Source organism: Homo sapiens, chromosome 18 (genome assembly GCF_000001405.40).
Source record: "Homo sapiens chromosome 18, GRCh38.p14 Primary Assembly".
NCBI lineage: Eukaryota > Metazoa > Chordata > Mammalia > Primates > Hominidae > Homo > Homo sapiens.
Genome location: NC_000018.10, coordinates 4,269,641 through 4,287,050, shown reverse-complemented (window position 1 = coordinate 4,287,050; position 17,410 = coordinate 4,269,641). Strand labels below are relative to the sequence as shown.

Below are 17,410 nucleotides of genomic sequence, written 5' to 3'. Positions count from 1 at the left end.
CCATGACATGCTTTTCTTAAAGCAATAGCAGAGGTGCAGAGGTACCCGCTCTTTTAACAGGCACCTCTTCATGGCCTCAAATTTGTCCTGCTCTTGAGTCTGAAGGGGATAGATTCCCAAATATCCATGTGGTTCACTCCCCCAATTATCGTTAAAAAGTCCTCTCTTTCCCTGGCCACTGTATTTCAGCCCTCAACCCCAATACTTCATATTCTTGTCTATTTATCTTTTTTCTTTTAAGATCCTCCCTAACAAAATTATTTCCCTCATTTGTCTTGCTTATTTTCTGTAACCTTCCTGAGAATGTGAGTCCTGATAAGGCAGAGGTTTCTGCCTCTCTTGTTCCTTGGCAATCAGTACTAACTAGTTCCATCATGAACACTGCCTGACTCTCACTAAATATTTCTGAAATGAGTGACTGAAGGGTCATTCCCAAACTCTGCTCTTCTCTCTGTATTTCCCCATCCCCAGCAAGACCCTCTGACGCTTTTAATCCTGTGCTAAACGGCTGCTGTACTCCTTCTGCTCTGAAATTCTGGAGTCCTAAAAGTCCTGTGTCCTGGGGGTGGCTTCCTCCCAGACCCTCAGCATTAGCGTCATCCTCCGTGCTTGAAATGAGTCATGTGTTGATGCTTTTCACTGCTTGTGCCCTGAGGGACCCCAAATCTTGAACATTCTAGGCTCAGAGAACGGTCCTGTTTGGAATAGTTTTCCTTGTAGTGAGGGGTCTGCCTCTGGTGTTGTTTCCTTTCAAATAGGCTCAGCTGGATTTGCTTGGTTGGTTTCATGTTTGTTTGATTGATTTTATTACCTGCTGCTTAATTTGGCCCATCTCTCCTCTACCATATAATACTGTTTTGCTCACAGTCATTTCTTCATCCTTCCTTTTTGGCTTCTGGATCCCAACATTGTATCTGTGAACACTTTTGCCCAGAGTCAGTCCTTTGACAGTGTCCCTGAGGAAGAGACATAAGCTGTTGTGTTCTGAGTTTGCCGGAGTGACACTTTGTTTTTCAAATAAATTTTGTCCACATTCCTCTCTCTCTCTGAGTGGGGTAATTTTACTATCAGTCCGGGACCAGGCTACTTTAAAAGTCATCAGGAGGTTATTAAAGCAAACTAAATATGGCCTGAGAAAAACTCTGTACTTCTATATTTGAGTCCTTGTGGATGAACTGTAACCTGGGTTAACAGGTAGACAAGACAAGATTGAAAACCTGACTTAGGAGTTTGCACCTGTAGCAATAGCTCAGTCTTGACCAATCCCAGTAGCCATGTTTCAACCACTCATGGACTGCTAAGTGTTCAAACTGTGTTCAAATAAGGCAAACGTCAACCTGTAACCAATCCAGCTATTTCTGTACCTCACTGCCGATTTCTGTATGTCATTTCCCTTTGTCTATAATCTTCTTCCACTATGTGGCTGCCCTGGAGTCTGTGAATCTGCTGTGATTCTGGGGACTGTCTGATTCATGAGTCGTTCATTGCTCAATTAAACTTCTTTAAATTGAATTTGGCTGAAGTTTTTCTTTTATCAAGATCCATAATTTCTTTTCCCTTAAAAATCTGTCTGATCTGCCCTATATGTTCTTGAACATTCTCCTCAGGTAAATTTTCTTTTCCTTGCACTCTGACAACATCCTGTTTTCTTTTCAGCTCCATTTTCTGCCCCTCTTCTTACTTTAGATACTTGTTTTTAACTAGTTCATTTCTCCTTGAGTCTCATTTTGGGATTCTAGATAGAAAGATATCTCTGGGCATGAGAGTTTTCCATTCCCCTTTTAGCTTCAGTTTTGTAATAATTGTAGTGAACTTTTCTCTGGGTGTACTTGCATAAAAAGCATTAATAAGATTTCCCTTCATTCTACTTTTTAGCAACCAGATCTTCCACCTATAGGCCTGGGTCCCTGATATCCAAATGATGAACAGGATATATAGGGATTGCCAACTCTGGCAAAAATAATGGCTTTACAAAAAGTAGAAATTATTACTTTATCATTATTTTTGTAAAAAAAAATAGTTTTACAAAAAGTAAATAACATCCTCCCTTTATCTTTCCTAGTGCAAGCTTTCAGGAGCATTTGCTTTATTGCGAAAGCACTTTAACTCATCAATATTTCTTTTGAAAAGTGACTCTCAGAAATCAGCATTGTACATCAGATAGGGTCCAATTTGCATAGAGTACAATGGGACTATTACTCTCCTTGGTGCCTTCATTACCTCAGTTCTTCAGCCTAATATTTTATTAGCTTCTTTTGATAGCCATGCATACAATAGACCAATTGAGCCTGCAGTCCACTTCCTATAGCTTGTCACCTGAGACCTGTGAAGGCGGCACTCCAGAAGGCCATGGGTCTGACCCCACCTCCTTAGTTGTAACATAGTGAAAGCCGAGCAAACTAGCTGATCCTGTGTGTGGGACATCAGTTCCTAGTGACTAAGTATGTGAAACTTAGGAGTACCAGCTTCAGCATCACCTGTAATAATTCTGCTACTACCATACATCAAAGGCCACAGTGGTGCCCGTGACACACCTTCTAAAACTAGAAACCACAACTGTCTCCTCACAGGCTCTTTGACACTCCATTTTAGCCTTGGTACTCGAACTCAAGAGCTCCTTGTTCATAGGCCTTTGATGGGATAAAGCGTTTGATGCATTAACTGGTTTCCCTTCCCTCTATTGTATTTTGTTTCTTCTGTGTCTTCCCATTCCACCTTCCCACCCTGCCTGTGTTCGGCTTGTACTTTCTGGGCCTGTTTACCTCAAGGAAGAGCCGACATTATACCTCTGCTGCTGAAAGGCTTCTCCCTGCTTGGAGGGCCACACTTGATTTTTTTTTTTTTTTTCAGTAGAGGCAGAGTTTAGCAGTGTTGCCCAGGCTGGAGTGCAGTGGCTACTCACAGGTGGATCATAGTGCACCTATAATCATAGTGCATTGCTTGAGCCTCAGACTCCTGGGGTTAAGCCATCCTCCCCCCTCCACCTCCTCAGTACCAGGAACTACAGACACACACCATGCCGGGCAGGCACACTTGATATTTAATGCTCTTACGTGTGTTTCCTTTGGGGAAAGAATCATCTGTTTGTTCCTGCCTGCAAGCCCTTGTCTTTTATTTAACCCTGTTTGACTGTCAGGACTGAGCCTTGGATTTCTTGGATGAGACAAAAGCATATTCATTCGCCAGTTTGGATATAGCTGTATGTTGTTTGAAGTTACAGTTTTACATAGTTTTATAAAAAAGAGTGCTTTTCTAATTACTTGTTAACTATATTGAATAAAACTTTTGTGCAAGTACATGGATAACTTCTTGGCAAAATCTGTCTATGAATTTTATCTTCATTAGCATGTTTAGTATTCTCAAGAAAAGGTCTTTATCCCAAACTATTTGATCCCTTTAAAACTTTCTTTATAAACTCTATTGATGAGGAAACTTTTCGCACTCTCCCTTTATAAGTTGTACACAAGGTTTCTTGAAGAAAAGGGTGTGTGGAGTGAAAAGTAAAGAAATTATTTTCACTAGAGTTGGCAATCCCTGTCAGTTATTGTTTTTATTTATATATATATGTATATCTTACAGGGCCCTTTACCCATTGGTGGTAACTAGTATATGTTTGTGTTTGTACTAACTAGTTCAGGAAATCAAAATAAATCTAATCCTTTTGCTACATAATATTGCCTAAAATATTCAAAGACAAATATTTCTCTAACTCTCCCATGTTACTTAAGAAATGTCTTCCATTTCTTTATCATTCCTAGTACAAACTTTCGGGAGTATTTATTCTGAAAGCACTTTAACTCATCAATGTTTCTTTTTAAAAGTGACTCTCAGAAATCAGCATTACATATCAGATAGGGTCCGATTTGCATAGAGAACAATGGGATTATTACATTCTTTGTTGCATTCATTACTTCAGTTCTTCAGCCTTATGTTTTATTAGCTTCTTTTGACAGACATGCACACAGTAGACTAATATTGAGCCTGCAATCTACTTCTTATAGCCTGTCCCATTCATTTTGTCATTTTTCATACGGCATAATGTCAAAACAAGTTTTCCCCATCCTGAGTGGCTAAAGTTGACACTTTGAACAGACTGATTACTATTTTTGAAACTAAATAGGATAAAATGACATGACTGAGACAAAACAGTCCAGACAGTTTATTACAGTGTCTGCTAATTTATGACATATTTCCTGGAATTATTTGCTATGATCATATCCATATTTTTAAAAACTGAACTTTAAGTCAGAGGCATGCTGCTGTGTCGTAACTGGTAAAGCAGGCTCTTCTCTCGCAATGCCAGCCCCCAGTTATGTGATCACAGAAAAGGTTACTTCTATTTTTTTATGTGCATAAATTTAGCAAGGTTTTGTCAACAGATATAAAAATTTGTTAATGCTTCTATGGCAAACTCTTCTTTTCAGATCTAAAGCATTTCATTATTTACTGAAATGTTGTCAGTGCTAAACATACATCAGATGTATTACTTGCATTGGAATGGAAATTGATGTTTATTTAAGATTAATTTATGGCTTTGTACATACTTACTATTTTGTTTCTATAAGGGACTTATGTATTATAATATGTGTTATTATCCAGCACCTTATCTGTACCAGCTTTGTTCACAAATCATTTTGTTTTAACAGCAGAAAATTCTATCATTTTTACTCTTTTTTTTTTTTTTTTTGAGACAGAGTCTCGCTTTGTTGCCCAGGTTGGAATGCAGTGGCACGATCTCGGCTCACTGCAAGCTCCGCCTCCCAGGTTCATGCCATTCTCCTGCCTCAGTCTCCCGAGTAGCTGAGACTACAGGCGCCCACCACCATGCCTGGCTAATTTTTTGTATTTTTAGTAGAGACGGAGTTTCACCGTGTTAGCCAGGATGATCTCGATCTCCTGACCTCGTGATCCGCCCGCCTCGGCCTCCCAAAGTGCTGGGATTACAGGCGTGAGCCCCTTCACCCAGCCCATTTTGACTCTTTTAATGAAAACATTATCATAGACATTGATAACAATTGGGAATATTGATCACATTGATTATTAAACATTTTAAAATATTTCTTAAAGTTATAAGTACTTGTAACAAAGTGGAATGCATTTAGAATTCATTATAGACTACCCTTCTTACATTATAGATGTTTCACACAGAAAGTCTCTTCTTTGATACACAGAATTATAAACATAGGAAGTATATAGGTATAAATATTTATAATATGTGTACATCTTATGCATTTTATATGTGTATGTGTCTCTGTGCATGTGTGTGTCTATAAGTGACTGTTTATACAACCCCTGAAGGAAATTAAGAAATGAGCTTAACTTTGTATTTTTGAGGGAAAGCCTGAATATTTTTTGACCCTACAGAAAAGTGGCTATATTCTCTTCACTTGGTGTTGTGGGAAACAATAGAAAACAACTGCTGCAAAGAAATGAAAGCGAATTATTGCAGACATAACCAATATCAGTGCAAATTTTCTAGATGGACCACATTTTTTTGAGATGGAGTTTCGCTCTCGTTTCCCAGGTTGCAGTGCAGTAGCGCAATCTCCGTTCACTGCAACCTCTGCCTCCTGGGTTTAGGCAATTCTCCTGCCTCAGCCTCCCGAGTAGCTGAGATTACAGACTCCCACCACCATGCCCAGCTAAGTTTTTGTATTTTTTTAGTACAGACGGAGTTTCATCATGTTGGCCAGGCTGATTGCGAACTCCTTTCCTCAGGTGATCCAACCACCTCAGTCTCCCAAAGTGTTAGGATTACAGGCATGAGCCACTGCGCCCGGCCCCACATTTTAAGAAACTTGAAAACAAACAACAAACAAAATACAACTTTAGGCTGTAACATTTCTCCAACTTTTCTCAAACATATCCCAAAAGCAGCTACGTTCAGATCATTGACGTAAAATACATATAAATGTTAGTACTCAACAAGTATTACTTTACTGGAATTTCAAATGATGGAAGATGGAACTAGAAAGACATTATTAGGCTGATAGTTTGTTCCAAAATTAGCAGGCATAATTAATCTGTTTCTCATAGGATATCTCAAGTTATAAGTCCAAGACAATTTTAGGGTTAAAAAGAAATTTATATTTCCACCAAGGCCATGAAGAAAAAGACAAATAATCTCATTTTTGAAAGAATGCTGAGGGTGGGATTAGTAACAACAGCATAAAAATTATCTCAGAATTCTTTATCAAAGCTAATCAGTCATCAAGTATTTCACAGCAATTATCTATGCCCAACCACTGTTAGATTCACGAGTTTAAGAGGTCATCGTTGCTTACTTCATAATTGGGAAGGTAAGATCATGGAGCCTCCTCCCTAGAAAGGAACCAAAAGGGAAATCATCACTGCAAATGGTAAAAATCATATTGTTTTTATCAGACTGTAGAAAAGTCTAATTGCAGCAATTGTTAAATTACTGTTCAGAAATCATTACAAACAAGTGTGAGGTGGTGTGGTAGGAAGAGAAAGAGGGACAGTGTGGAACTGTGGGAATATCCCTAGTCTGGGAGTTGACAGACATGCATTTTAAGCACCTCTCTACCATTAACTGGATATATTGTGATATGAAGTCAGGGAGTAAATACTCAGCACTATACTAGTTGTGGGCTTTTGGTCAGTAATTTATTCACTCTGTGCTTCAGTTTCTTCATTTGTTTTAAGTAAGACCATGAAGACAGGGATTATTTTATTTGTTATGTTCATCCATGTATCCCAGACACTAAGAACAGTTCCTGGCAAGATTGTTTCCAATAAATATTTGTTAAATATATGAATAAATTAATAATTGCCAGGGTGGGTAGATTTATTAAAATTATATCATGATTAATTGGCCCTTTAAAGGGTTGGCAGGACTATACATGCTTACATTTTTTTAATCAACTTATACAGATATTAAGATTTTATCGAATGTCAGAAATGTGAAGTTCATGTTGAAGCTAAATAGCAACCAACAGCCAGTATGTCATATTTAACAAAATCAATGAAAAAAAGTAAATGTCAGAAAAATGTTAGTAATACTGCAAGAAAATAGCTTAAGATGACAGCTTGTTTTTATTCATTATAAATTGAAAATAAATTGGGTACACTATGATTTAATGACTGTTTAACGAATAAATCAGATTTTTGGTTCAAAAACAGCCATGAGTATACTTCAGTGTTTAGGATAGTAAGATGAAATAACATCAATAAAATTAGTTGGCATGGTTAATGCAACATATATAATTAATGAAAACTAAAACATTGAGATGATATGCTTAAGTTTTATCATTCTTCAAATAATTGAAGAAATGATTTCTGTTAGTAAATTTGATATAAAAGAGTTTATATGCTTTACAATAAATGTTTACTTTAGTTAAGAAAAATAGCAAATTATTTAGAGTTATCTTACTAATATTCAATACGTTAGACACATTTAAATCACTGTTGTAATTGGACATATAGGCACGCAGGTGTTTGTTGAGCTAGAGGGAAAACAGATCACTTGTTTTACCTACAGCTTTGAATCTTACACATCAGGCACTTCCCCACCAGCACCAAGATTCAGTCAACGGTTTATTTTTTAAAGCCCATGTGGTTTTTCTCAAAGAAGCAGGAGCTTTATTACTTTACTTTAACCTAAATACTCACAATCCTTTGAAATCACTGCAAAAACATATTACTTGGTGTATCTAAAATGCCCAAGGCAAGAGATATTAGCCAAATAAAAATTAATAGATATCAGTGCTTCTTCTTAATCTAATGGTAAAAAAAATTATTTGGATGTTTAAGGATTTCTATTTTAGAATGCACTTTCCTGTATGTTGCTAAGTGAAGTGAAGTGTTATTATCCCTGTTTCATGTTAGAAGAAACACAGAAAGTTAAAGTGACCTAGAGTTATACAGCTACTAAGAAATAGTAAGAATTGAACCCCAGGTCTGCCACTTCCAGTCCAGCGCTTGTTCTGCATGTAACTATTGCCCATGTAACCATTGCCTTTGCAGAAGGCTGCTTCCAGCATGATTTTTGCTTCTCTCAGCCAGAAAATAGACACATTCCACTAGTGTTCACAACTGCCTCCAAGGTCAGGAATATTTTTTATTTGCTTTGTAGAGGAAGAGGTATTTTAAGGTTTTTTCTTGTTTGCTTAAAAATAGATCCAGCAATCCCACTAATGGGTATCTACCCAAAGGAAATCATTATATCACAAAGATACCTATATTCCTATGTTTATTGCTGCAGTGTTCACAGTAGCAAAGATACGGTATCAGTCTAAGTGTCCATCAACAGATGATTAGATAAAATATGTGTGTGTGTGTGTATAACATTTTCATATATATGTATATACACACACACATGCACATATATATATGAAAATGTTATATACACACCCACACACACACATACACATACACACACACCATGGAATACTATCCAACCATAAAAAACAATGAAATCATGTTCTTTGCAGCAACATGGATGAAACTGGAGATCATTATCTTAAGTGAAACAACTCAGAAACAGAAAGTCAGATACTGCCTGATCTCACTTAAAAGTGGGAGCTAATGTGTACACATGGACATAGAGTGTGAACTAATAATCACTGGAGACTGGGAAGAGTAGGAGAGTGGGAGGGCTGAGGGCTGAGAAATTATTTAGTGGGTACAATGTACACTAGTTAAGTGATGGTTCTCTAGAAGCCCAGACTGTACCATTGCTCAATGTATCCATGTAACAACATTGCACTTGTACCTCTTAAATTATACAAATAAGTAAAATAAAATAAAAGGCAGATGTAAGCAAACTTCCTTTAAAAATAAAAGACCATAATACTCATTTAGTTTATCACTCTGAGAAAAGAAGTACTATATAAATGCAAAAATCAGCCCCATAGCCTTTTTGTATACATATTTAACTCACATAACATGCTGTATTTAAAAAACTATAGATTTGTAACAAAAGTATTGTTACCAAATACAAAACAACAACAATAAAAATAATAAAAAAGAGCCAAAGGTAAGTAGCTTTTCTCTTCTAAATCAATTTGAACACGTCCAATGGTCTAAGAAAAAAAAAAATGCAATCTCTTTCCCACTTTTCAGGTTCCTAAGTAAAGGACTGCTCAACAGTAGGTTTTTAGGATAACAAGGTGGGAGAAAAGGCTTTTAGAGTGGAGCAGACATTGTATTTCCAAGGGCTGAAATTCCATGAAGAATAAAATTTAATGCAATATTACCGATATGTGGACAAACAAAAATTCAGACAGCCAAAATACATAAAGTGACAGTGGGAGATAGGTTTGTGCTACCCCTGCTGAGTTCTATCACAGTAGTATCTCTGGAAACTGTCTCGGCTGCAGTAATGTGGGATAACAATCCACCAAAAATAATTTGCACTAAATAACCGAAAAAAGAGAATTAGAACAAGTGCAATTTCATAATGGGTTTTATACAAAGGAATATTAAAGGGAACTTTAAAGTTTCCTTTTAAAATAAAAAATAAATAAATAAACCCACAACATTCTATGGTTCCTAATCTCACAGACATCCTTCACGGAACCTATGACATATATCTTACCCCACAGAAAACCCACAGAAACTATTCTTACTTTCAGAATGCTAACAAGCCTTGGGTTCAAAGTAACCATGACATCCTTAAATTATCAGAATGCGTATTACAGTGAAACAGTGCAAATAAGCTTACACACACACACACATTCTCCATTTGTGAAACTGGATTTTAAATAAAAATTCAAGAATTCTTTAAGCAAGTTTTAGGTTAAGTAACATTATGCAATTCCATGTATTCATCAAGGCTATTTCTGACAGAAATTTGCAGCATTATTAGATCACAAGGGCATCCTTTGCACACAGTCCTCAGTTGGAACACGCCTATTTCTCACAGTCGTCTATATCACGTGTATACACAGGAAAATCATCAAATGCCATTATACTAGCAGGGAAAAAAGCCTCCCACTGTTTTGGTGATGAGATTTTATTTAAACTTTTTCTTCTTTTTAAAAATCAGCATGAGCTAAGTTACTACACAAATTTATTTATGGGTTAGAAAATATATTCATTAAAGTCTAGCAAGCAAATGAAATGTGTAATGAGGCTGGAACCAATATGTATGCATATTTAACAAATAATTTAAGATACACTTTTTTAAAATCTTACATATGCATTACTGTTTCTATTTATACTTACTGATACAACTCTAGTCAGACACAGAAATCTGTATTTCTTATTTAAACTTCACTTAAGAATCACACAAAATTTAGAGTACCAGATATTAATTTCTTGAGTTTCTCTGACCTTATGCATAAAAAATAGACTTTGAAAATTACCTATTGGTAGAATTATACTGTAAGACATTTTACTTTTACCATGAAATACTCCTATGAGAAAATATATTTGTTTATTTTTTTTTTTTCAAGCTGGTGTCTTGCTCTGTCATCCAGGCTGGAGTGCAGTGGCGAGATCTTAGCTCACTGCAACTTCTACCTCCTGGGTTAAAGTGAGTCTCCCACCTCAGCCTCCCAAGTAGCTGGGATTACAGGTGCATGCCACCACACCCGGCTAATTTTCGTATTTTTAGTAGAGACAGGGTTTCACCACGTTGGCCAGGCTGGTCTTGAGCTCCTGACCTCGAGTGATCCGCCTGCCTCAGCCTCCCAAAGTGCTGGGGTTACAGGGATAAGCCAACGTGCCCAGCCTTGTTTAACTTATTTTAACCTCCATCTATAAACAGAAATTCTAAAAAGATCCTGAATAATCAGAGCTCATTACAATTCTCCACACTATAGCCAAAGTCAAAGTCAGCTCATCAAAACATAATTATGATCCTATTTCTTATGCCTCCCCCTGTCTCCTGCCCTGCATTAAAAAAAAAAAAAAAATCAAGCCCCCTCCCACCCCCCGCCAAAAAAGAGACACATCAGTGGTTTCCCATTTTTCTTGGACAATAGACAAAACTATCATTCAGCCCATAAGGTCTTTTCCGGCTGAACCCTCATACCCTCCTGCTACCCCATATAGTCCTCTCTCTTTTTTCTGCTCCTCCTAGCCACAGAATATTTGCATGTTCTCTTTCCCTTGTAAACTCCTGCTTGTAGTTCATATCTCAGTTCAAGAATAACTTTCTGATATTTGAGCAAAGGCTTTTCTAATCAATGAACTCACTTCTGGATATATTTTCTTTGTTATATTTTCATAAGACTTTATTTCTTCAGAATAAATATGTATCTCAACTTTATATTTTATTGTATATGATTATTAATTAGCCTCCATCTCTGCCACTCAGAAATAAACTCCATGAGAGCAGTGAACACATAAATTTTAACACATCGTCTAATAGTATGACTAGCACAATAGTTAGCATTTAGTAAGTGCCCAATAAGTATTTCTTGCAAGAATGAGCCATGCTCAGTTTTGGGCATTTATGATATTCTAGCGAGAGAAAAAAAAAAACAGCTAAAATCCTTGCTTTGTTAGGATTTACATTCTAGCATGGGGAGAAGGACCAAAACATATACATAATAAACAAGTAAATTATGGAGGGTGTTAGAAAATGATAAATGTTATTCAACATAGAAAAACTTATATTAGAGTAAGAGGATCAAGATTGCCAACAGTGGGAGAAACATGGAGGCAGGTTGAATTTCAAATAGGATTTTAAATACATGCATACCTGTTTGAGAAGTAACATTTGAGCAGACTTGAAGGAAATGAGGGAATTCACCACGAGGATCTCTAAGGGAAGAGCATTCCTGTGAGAGAGAGCACTCAGTGAAAAGATGGGAGAGCTCCTAGAATAGCAAGTAGCCAGTGTGGCTGGAGTGGAGTGAGCAAATGGGACGGTACTGGTCAAAGTCATTAGAGACATCATGGGGACCAGACACCTTAATGGAAATAATGAAAAGTATATGATTTTTAAATGCATTTTGATACTCTCTCATTACTAGTAAGTACAGTTTATAATGCTGATTACAATTTGCTAGCAGATAGATGTATGATTATTATATATTCCCATATTAATTCACCAATTTCCCAAATTAGAAGTCAGTCCCATTTTGATAAATTCTTTGAAAGATTATTTCTTAAATTTCAAAAATATTATTTAGTAGCATCTTACCAATTTGTTCCCATTAATGATCAGTGGAGTCTATTTTTTCTTAGAACATTCATGGTCAGGACTGGTTTTGTCTCTCACTACTCTATAATAAGTCCAGTCAAATATTACTTATGCAGTTATTTAAATGGTTTAGTGTGTTCATTTATGACAAAATAAACATCATTTCTACTTCTTATCTACTAAAAGCGGGGTTTTCAAATACTCAATTGTTGTGGTTTTCTCAATTATAGCTGTCAGAATTATGATGCTATTAAATTACAAGTGCAAGTTTCTGCAATGATTTAAATGAAGGAGGCCTGCATGGATGTGTAGTGCCTATCTACCTGTATTGACATTTGAGTAAACATAGCCTGATTATAATATCAAAGCTCTCTAATGTGAGTCAGATTCCAGTGAAGAATTGGCTATATATTATTTCTATTTTAAGTTAGAATTAAAGATATTGAGTAAATTCTCGACTGTCCAAAGTGAGAGGGAAGAGGACTGTTTTCCAGAATGGACCATATACTAGTCCATAAAGCAAACCTCAACAACTTTAAAAGAAAAGAAATAATACAAAGTACATTTTCTGACCAAAATGGAATGAAATTAGAAATCAATAGCAGGAAAAAATTGGGGAAACTCACAAATATGTGGAAATTATATGACACACTCTTAAATAACCAGCGGGTCAAAGAAGAAATTAAAAAAGAAATCCAAAAACACTTTGAGATGACTGAAAATGAAGGAAGCATAGTAAGACTTATGGAATGCAGATAAAGTGTTACTTAGAGGGAAAGTTATAACCGTAAGGGCTTTTGTGAAAAAAGAAGAGTTAAATAAATAACCTAACCTTCCACCTTAAGACGGAGGAAAAAAAAAAAGCAAACTAAACCTAAATGAGAGAGAAGAAAACAAATAATAAAGATTTGAGCAGAAATTAGTGAAATTTAAAACAACAAAAATTATAGTAAAAATCAATGAAACTAAAAGCTGGTTGTTCAGAAAGATAAAAAAAATTGACAAGCCTTTAGCTAGACTGATGATCAAGAAAAAAAAGAGAGAAGACAAATTACTAAAATCAGAAGTAAAAGTAGGAATGTTACCAGTGATTTTACAAAAATTAAAAAAGCATTGTAAGAAAATACTATGAACAATTACACACCAACAAAGTGGATGACGTTGGACTCCCATTTCTCACCATATGTAAAAATTAACTTAAGGAGGGGCACAGTGGCTCACGCCTGTAATCCCAGCTATCTGGGAGGCTGAATTGGGAGAACTGCTTGAGCCCAGGAATTTAAAACCAGCCTGGGTAACAGGGTGAGACCCCATTTCCACAAAAAATTAGCCAGGCATTTTGGCGTCCACCTGTAGTCATAGCCACTCAGGAGGCTGAGGTGAGAGGATTGCTTGAGCCCGGGAGTTTGAAGTTACACTGAACTATGATCTCACCACTGCACTCCAGCCTAGGTGACAGTGTTGCTTTCATTCTGTAAAAACAACATTCACAGAATGGTTGTAATGCTGTGCCATGGAACATCATCAGTAATACCTGGTGGTGCTGGGTAAAGTATGTGAGGGATTTCTTGGTTCAGCCAAGACCAGGAAAAGGAGAGCAAGTACCAAGAGGAGACCCATGTATGCTGGGGAAGCAAGAGCGGGAGAGGCAGGGTGCATGGAGGGTTTAAGAGATCAGGCTATTTCTCAACATGGTGAGAGGTTAACAAATGATTGCTTTCCTTCTCCACACTCAAATTTGCTATAATGGAAAGTTTTTGTTTCAATGCTGTATTAGTTTCCTGGAGGCTGCAGTAACAAATTACCACAAATAGGGTGTGGAGAGGTGGTAAAGCAACAGAAATTTATCCTCTTACAGTTCTAGAGGCTAGAAGTTCAAAGTCAAGGTGCTGGCAGGACCTTCCTCTCTCTGAAGGCCCTTGATGAGAATCCCTCCTTGATGCATCCTAGCTTCTCATGGCTCCCAGCAATCCTTACTGTTCATGCCTTGGCTTGTAGCTGCAGTCTCCACCTCTGCCTTCACAAGGTTTTCTCTGTGTGACCTCTCCTCTTCTTGTAAGGATACCTGTCGTTGGATGTAGGGGCCACCCTGAACCAGTGTGATCTCGTTATAACTAATTATGTCTGCAAAGAACCCATTTCCAAACAAGGTCACATTCACAGGTTTCAAGGGTTAGCACTTGAACATATATTTTGAGGGCATACAATGTAGGCCACTATAAAACGCTTTCCCGTAGAAGAGTTAGGGCAATAGGAAATCCTTTTATATATGTTGAATCTGTGTCTCTGGCTTTTTACTTCATATGGTGCTGCAAAACAGTCTGATCTCATGGTGGCCTGCTGATGGCAGAGAAAATAGCCTGGAATTACTCAGCCTGGGGGCTAAGGGACTAAGTCGGATTATTATTTGACAAGTTTAACATTTTCCAGTATTTTGTAACTGAAATGCCATCACATGGCTGCTATGTTGCTCTGCATGGTTGACAGGGAGTTTTAGCTCAGGGATACTATTTAGTGAGATAATATATTCATCTAATATTACATATATATTTCATACTTAAAAATCTCTCCTGGCTTTAACCCAAAGAACAAAAAAAGGTAAAATAAACTGAATTCACATCACACCTTATACTGTAACTTTTTGATGCATTCTTCAAAAAAGCTGCAGATGAGGAAATCTTATATAAGTTTGTAGATGACAGTTCTTCAGAAGCAATTTTAATGACAGAAGTAGACAAAGAATTACGCAGTTCTAAGAAGTGAGATAAATATATATTTCTTACGCAATACACCATTTAATACTATTCATACTCTTCTACCTTAATATTAGCCTAACTTCATAAAGTTGGAATACACTGCACAGATCATAAGCCTAAAATATTAAAATATCTGAATACAGTCATGAAAGAAAAAAATGGATAAAGAATTGCAAGGAGGAAACTTGGTCTCAGTCTTCAAGTGCTTTCTCTTGCAGAAGAGCCATTCCTGTGTTCTCACCACAGAGCCTACTAAACATGAATTGTGTGCATCAAAAAGGGTACTTGATTTAATGAGCATGATTACCTGTTCCCTCAAGCTTTAAGGTCTTCTCAAAATATATTAAGTCATTTCAGCATAATCAATATTTACATCATTATATTTGAAGCAGAAAGGTCAAAAGCAAAGGGAAATAGGTGGGTTAAAATCACTAAGAAGTAATAATTGAGACTGAGGCATGATAAGAATCACCACCTCCAAAAACTTTCACAACTCTGATACCATTAAGTGGAGGAGTAGAAATATTACAAAGACAAGCTAATACAACTACAGGTGTCTACAATGATAATATTGAACCATCAAGAAAAGATTAAATAATGTTTAGTATATTTTCTTCAAGGTATAGACTTACATAATATTTATTAGAAAAATTCCCAACAAATTTGGTTAAATATTTAATATTCACCATTGGTAGGCCAAATTTTTCTTATTTGCAGTATTCTTTCATTCATAATAATCATTCCCAAAGGATACCAGGCAAATGATATGTTTCTCTAAGATTGCCTTACTTGCTCTCACTTCATATATGTGAAATTAGGTAGTATCATGAAAAGCAAGAACAACATGGTAAAGTATTTGTAAATGTTCCAACTAGAGGTTGGAGGTTAATGATTAACAATCATTAGAAGTACTTCGGGAGGGAGCTTCAAAAATATTGGTCCTGGGGCCTACTCACCACAGACCAATTAAATCAGGACCTCTCGGGATTGGATCTGAGCTTGAGTTCTTTGTAAAACTTCCCCAAATGATTCTAGTGTGAAACCAGCTTGGAGAAAGCTGTCAACCACTTTCTAAGTCAAGAATACTCCCCCTTTATAGAGGGGATTGTGAATCAGCTGGCTTCTGTGTCTTCTGGAATATGAGTCAGGATGGAAACCTGCCTTTAAAATTATGTTTCTAAGCTTTGGAAAATAATCCACAAGGGAAAGAAAAATTTTCTGATGAAAATTGTTACTTCATAAAATGTTCTAGTGATAGGATCAAACAATAAAAGGACATAGTGATTAAGGAATCTCATTCACCATGAAAACGACTTAAGGTATAAGTCAACATCTGCAAACAGCATCTCAGAAATGCCCACACTAAATGCATGACTGCAGTTCTATAAAAGGTTGTTCTTGGAACTTTACTTTTGGAAAGTAAGCTTATAAAATCACCTGATTACTAAATTAAAATTGAACCTACTAGTAATAGCCATAGAATGCTTGTCAGAGGCTTTGGAAGGTATATTTGGAGGGAAGGAGAGGGATGGGACAGTGTAAGTGTTCTTTATTTTCTTGTAAGTGTTCTTTATTTTCAATAAAGCCTCCTCTTCAGAAAAATATATTCCAAACATTAAAAATTATTAGTTTTGTGTGATGAAACCATCAATGTGAAATATTTTGGAAAAATATTATGTTATCACTAAATTAATTATTCTCGTGAAAAGTTACTTACTCAAGTTTTAAAGTAACAAATCATCTGTCCTACACCAAATGTTTTATACGCCTCCCAAATGATGCCATTTGAGCTAGTGGGAGAGACATTGACACAGTGAGCTGGAAGGAGAAATGTTGCTGCCTAAGAGTAGGTTGTCCCCAGAGGAAGAACAAAGTGAGGCTTGGCTTTGCACTTTCTGTTAAATAAGCTGCAGGGTAATAAGAGGGGAAAATGAAATAAAGCCATTGCAAAACAACCTACCTGAGAGGTGCCAAGTGCGAATGAAACCACCCTGTATTAGTGATGACACAGTGCAGTAGTGCATCTCATCTACAAAGGGACTTTCTCAGAGAATGAGAGAGATCCGGTTCTTTAATAAGAGGAACTTGAGCCATTTTGTCAAAAACTAAATTTTAACACAGAGCTTCTGAACATTTAAACTATGCTACTGTAACATGTGAAGGATCCTATTGTGAATAGCATAAATTTCTATTTCAATCATTAGCATGCTAAAGTGAAACAAGCTGCAGTAGAAAAGGCCTTTGTAAAGGGAACCTAGAAAGAAGACTTTACAAACAGAATTTAAAACAGACATAAGTTCAGGACAAAATTAGTCAGAACTCAAGAAATTCTCCCCCTAGTACTCATAGTCAGCCCTAGCATTTTCTAGATAAATGTATGCATTGGTAGAATGTCTGTGATGTTTAATAACTAGACTTATCATTGGCCATTTTAACTTTATAGCTGTAACATTAATTATAGACTATGTCAATGGCCCTTTCAAATGGCTTTTATTTCTCGGTGAAAATAAAATAATAATAGAATATGGCCGGGCGCGGT

The 17,410-nt window shown here is 36.5% G+C and overlaps 1 protein-coding gene and 1 long non-coding RNA gene across 12 annotated transcripts in view; one reads left to right on the top strand and one right to left on the bottom strand.

The window, feature by feature from the left end:
• DLGAP1 (DLG associated protein 1) overlaps window positions 1–17,410 on the top strand; it is a 959,276-nt gene that overhangs the window by 168,257 nt on the left and 773,609 nt on the right. The gene's annotated exons all lie outside the window — the stretch shown is intronic.
• The window catches only part of DLGAP1-AS5 (DLGAP1 antisense RNA 5), a 31,399-nt gene that overhangs the window by 8,950 nt on the left and 5,039 nt on the right, over window positions 1–17,410 (bottom strand). The window contains exon 2 of the long non-coding RNA NR_036489.1: window positions 11,672–11,750. This is a non-coding gene — a long non-coding RNA (DLGAP1 antisense RNA 5). The remainder of the gene's footprint in view (window positions 1–11,671; window positions 11,751–17,410) is intronic.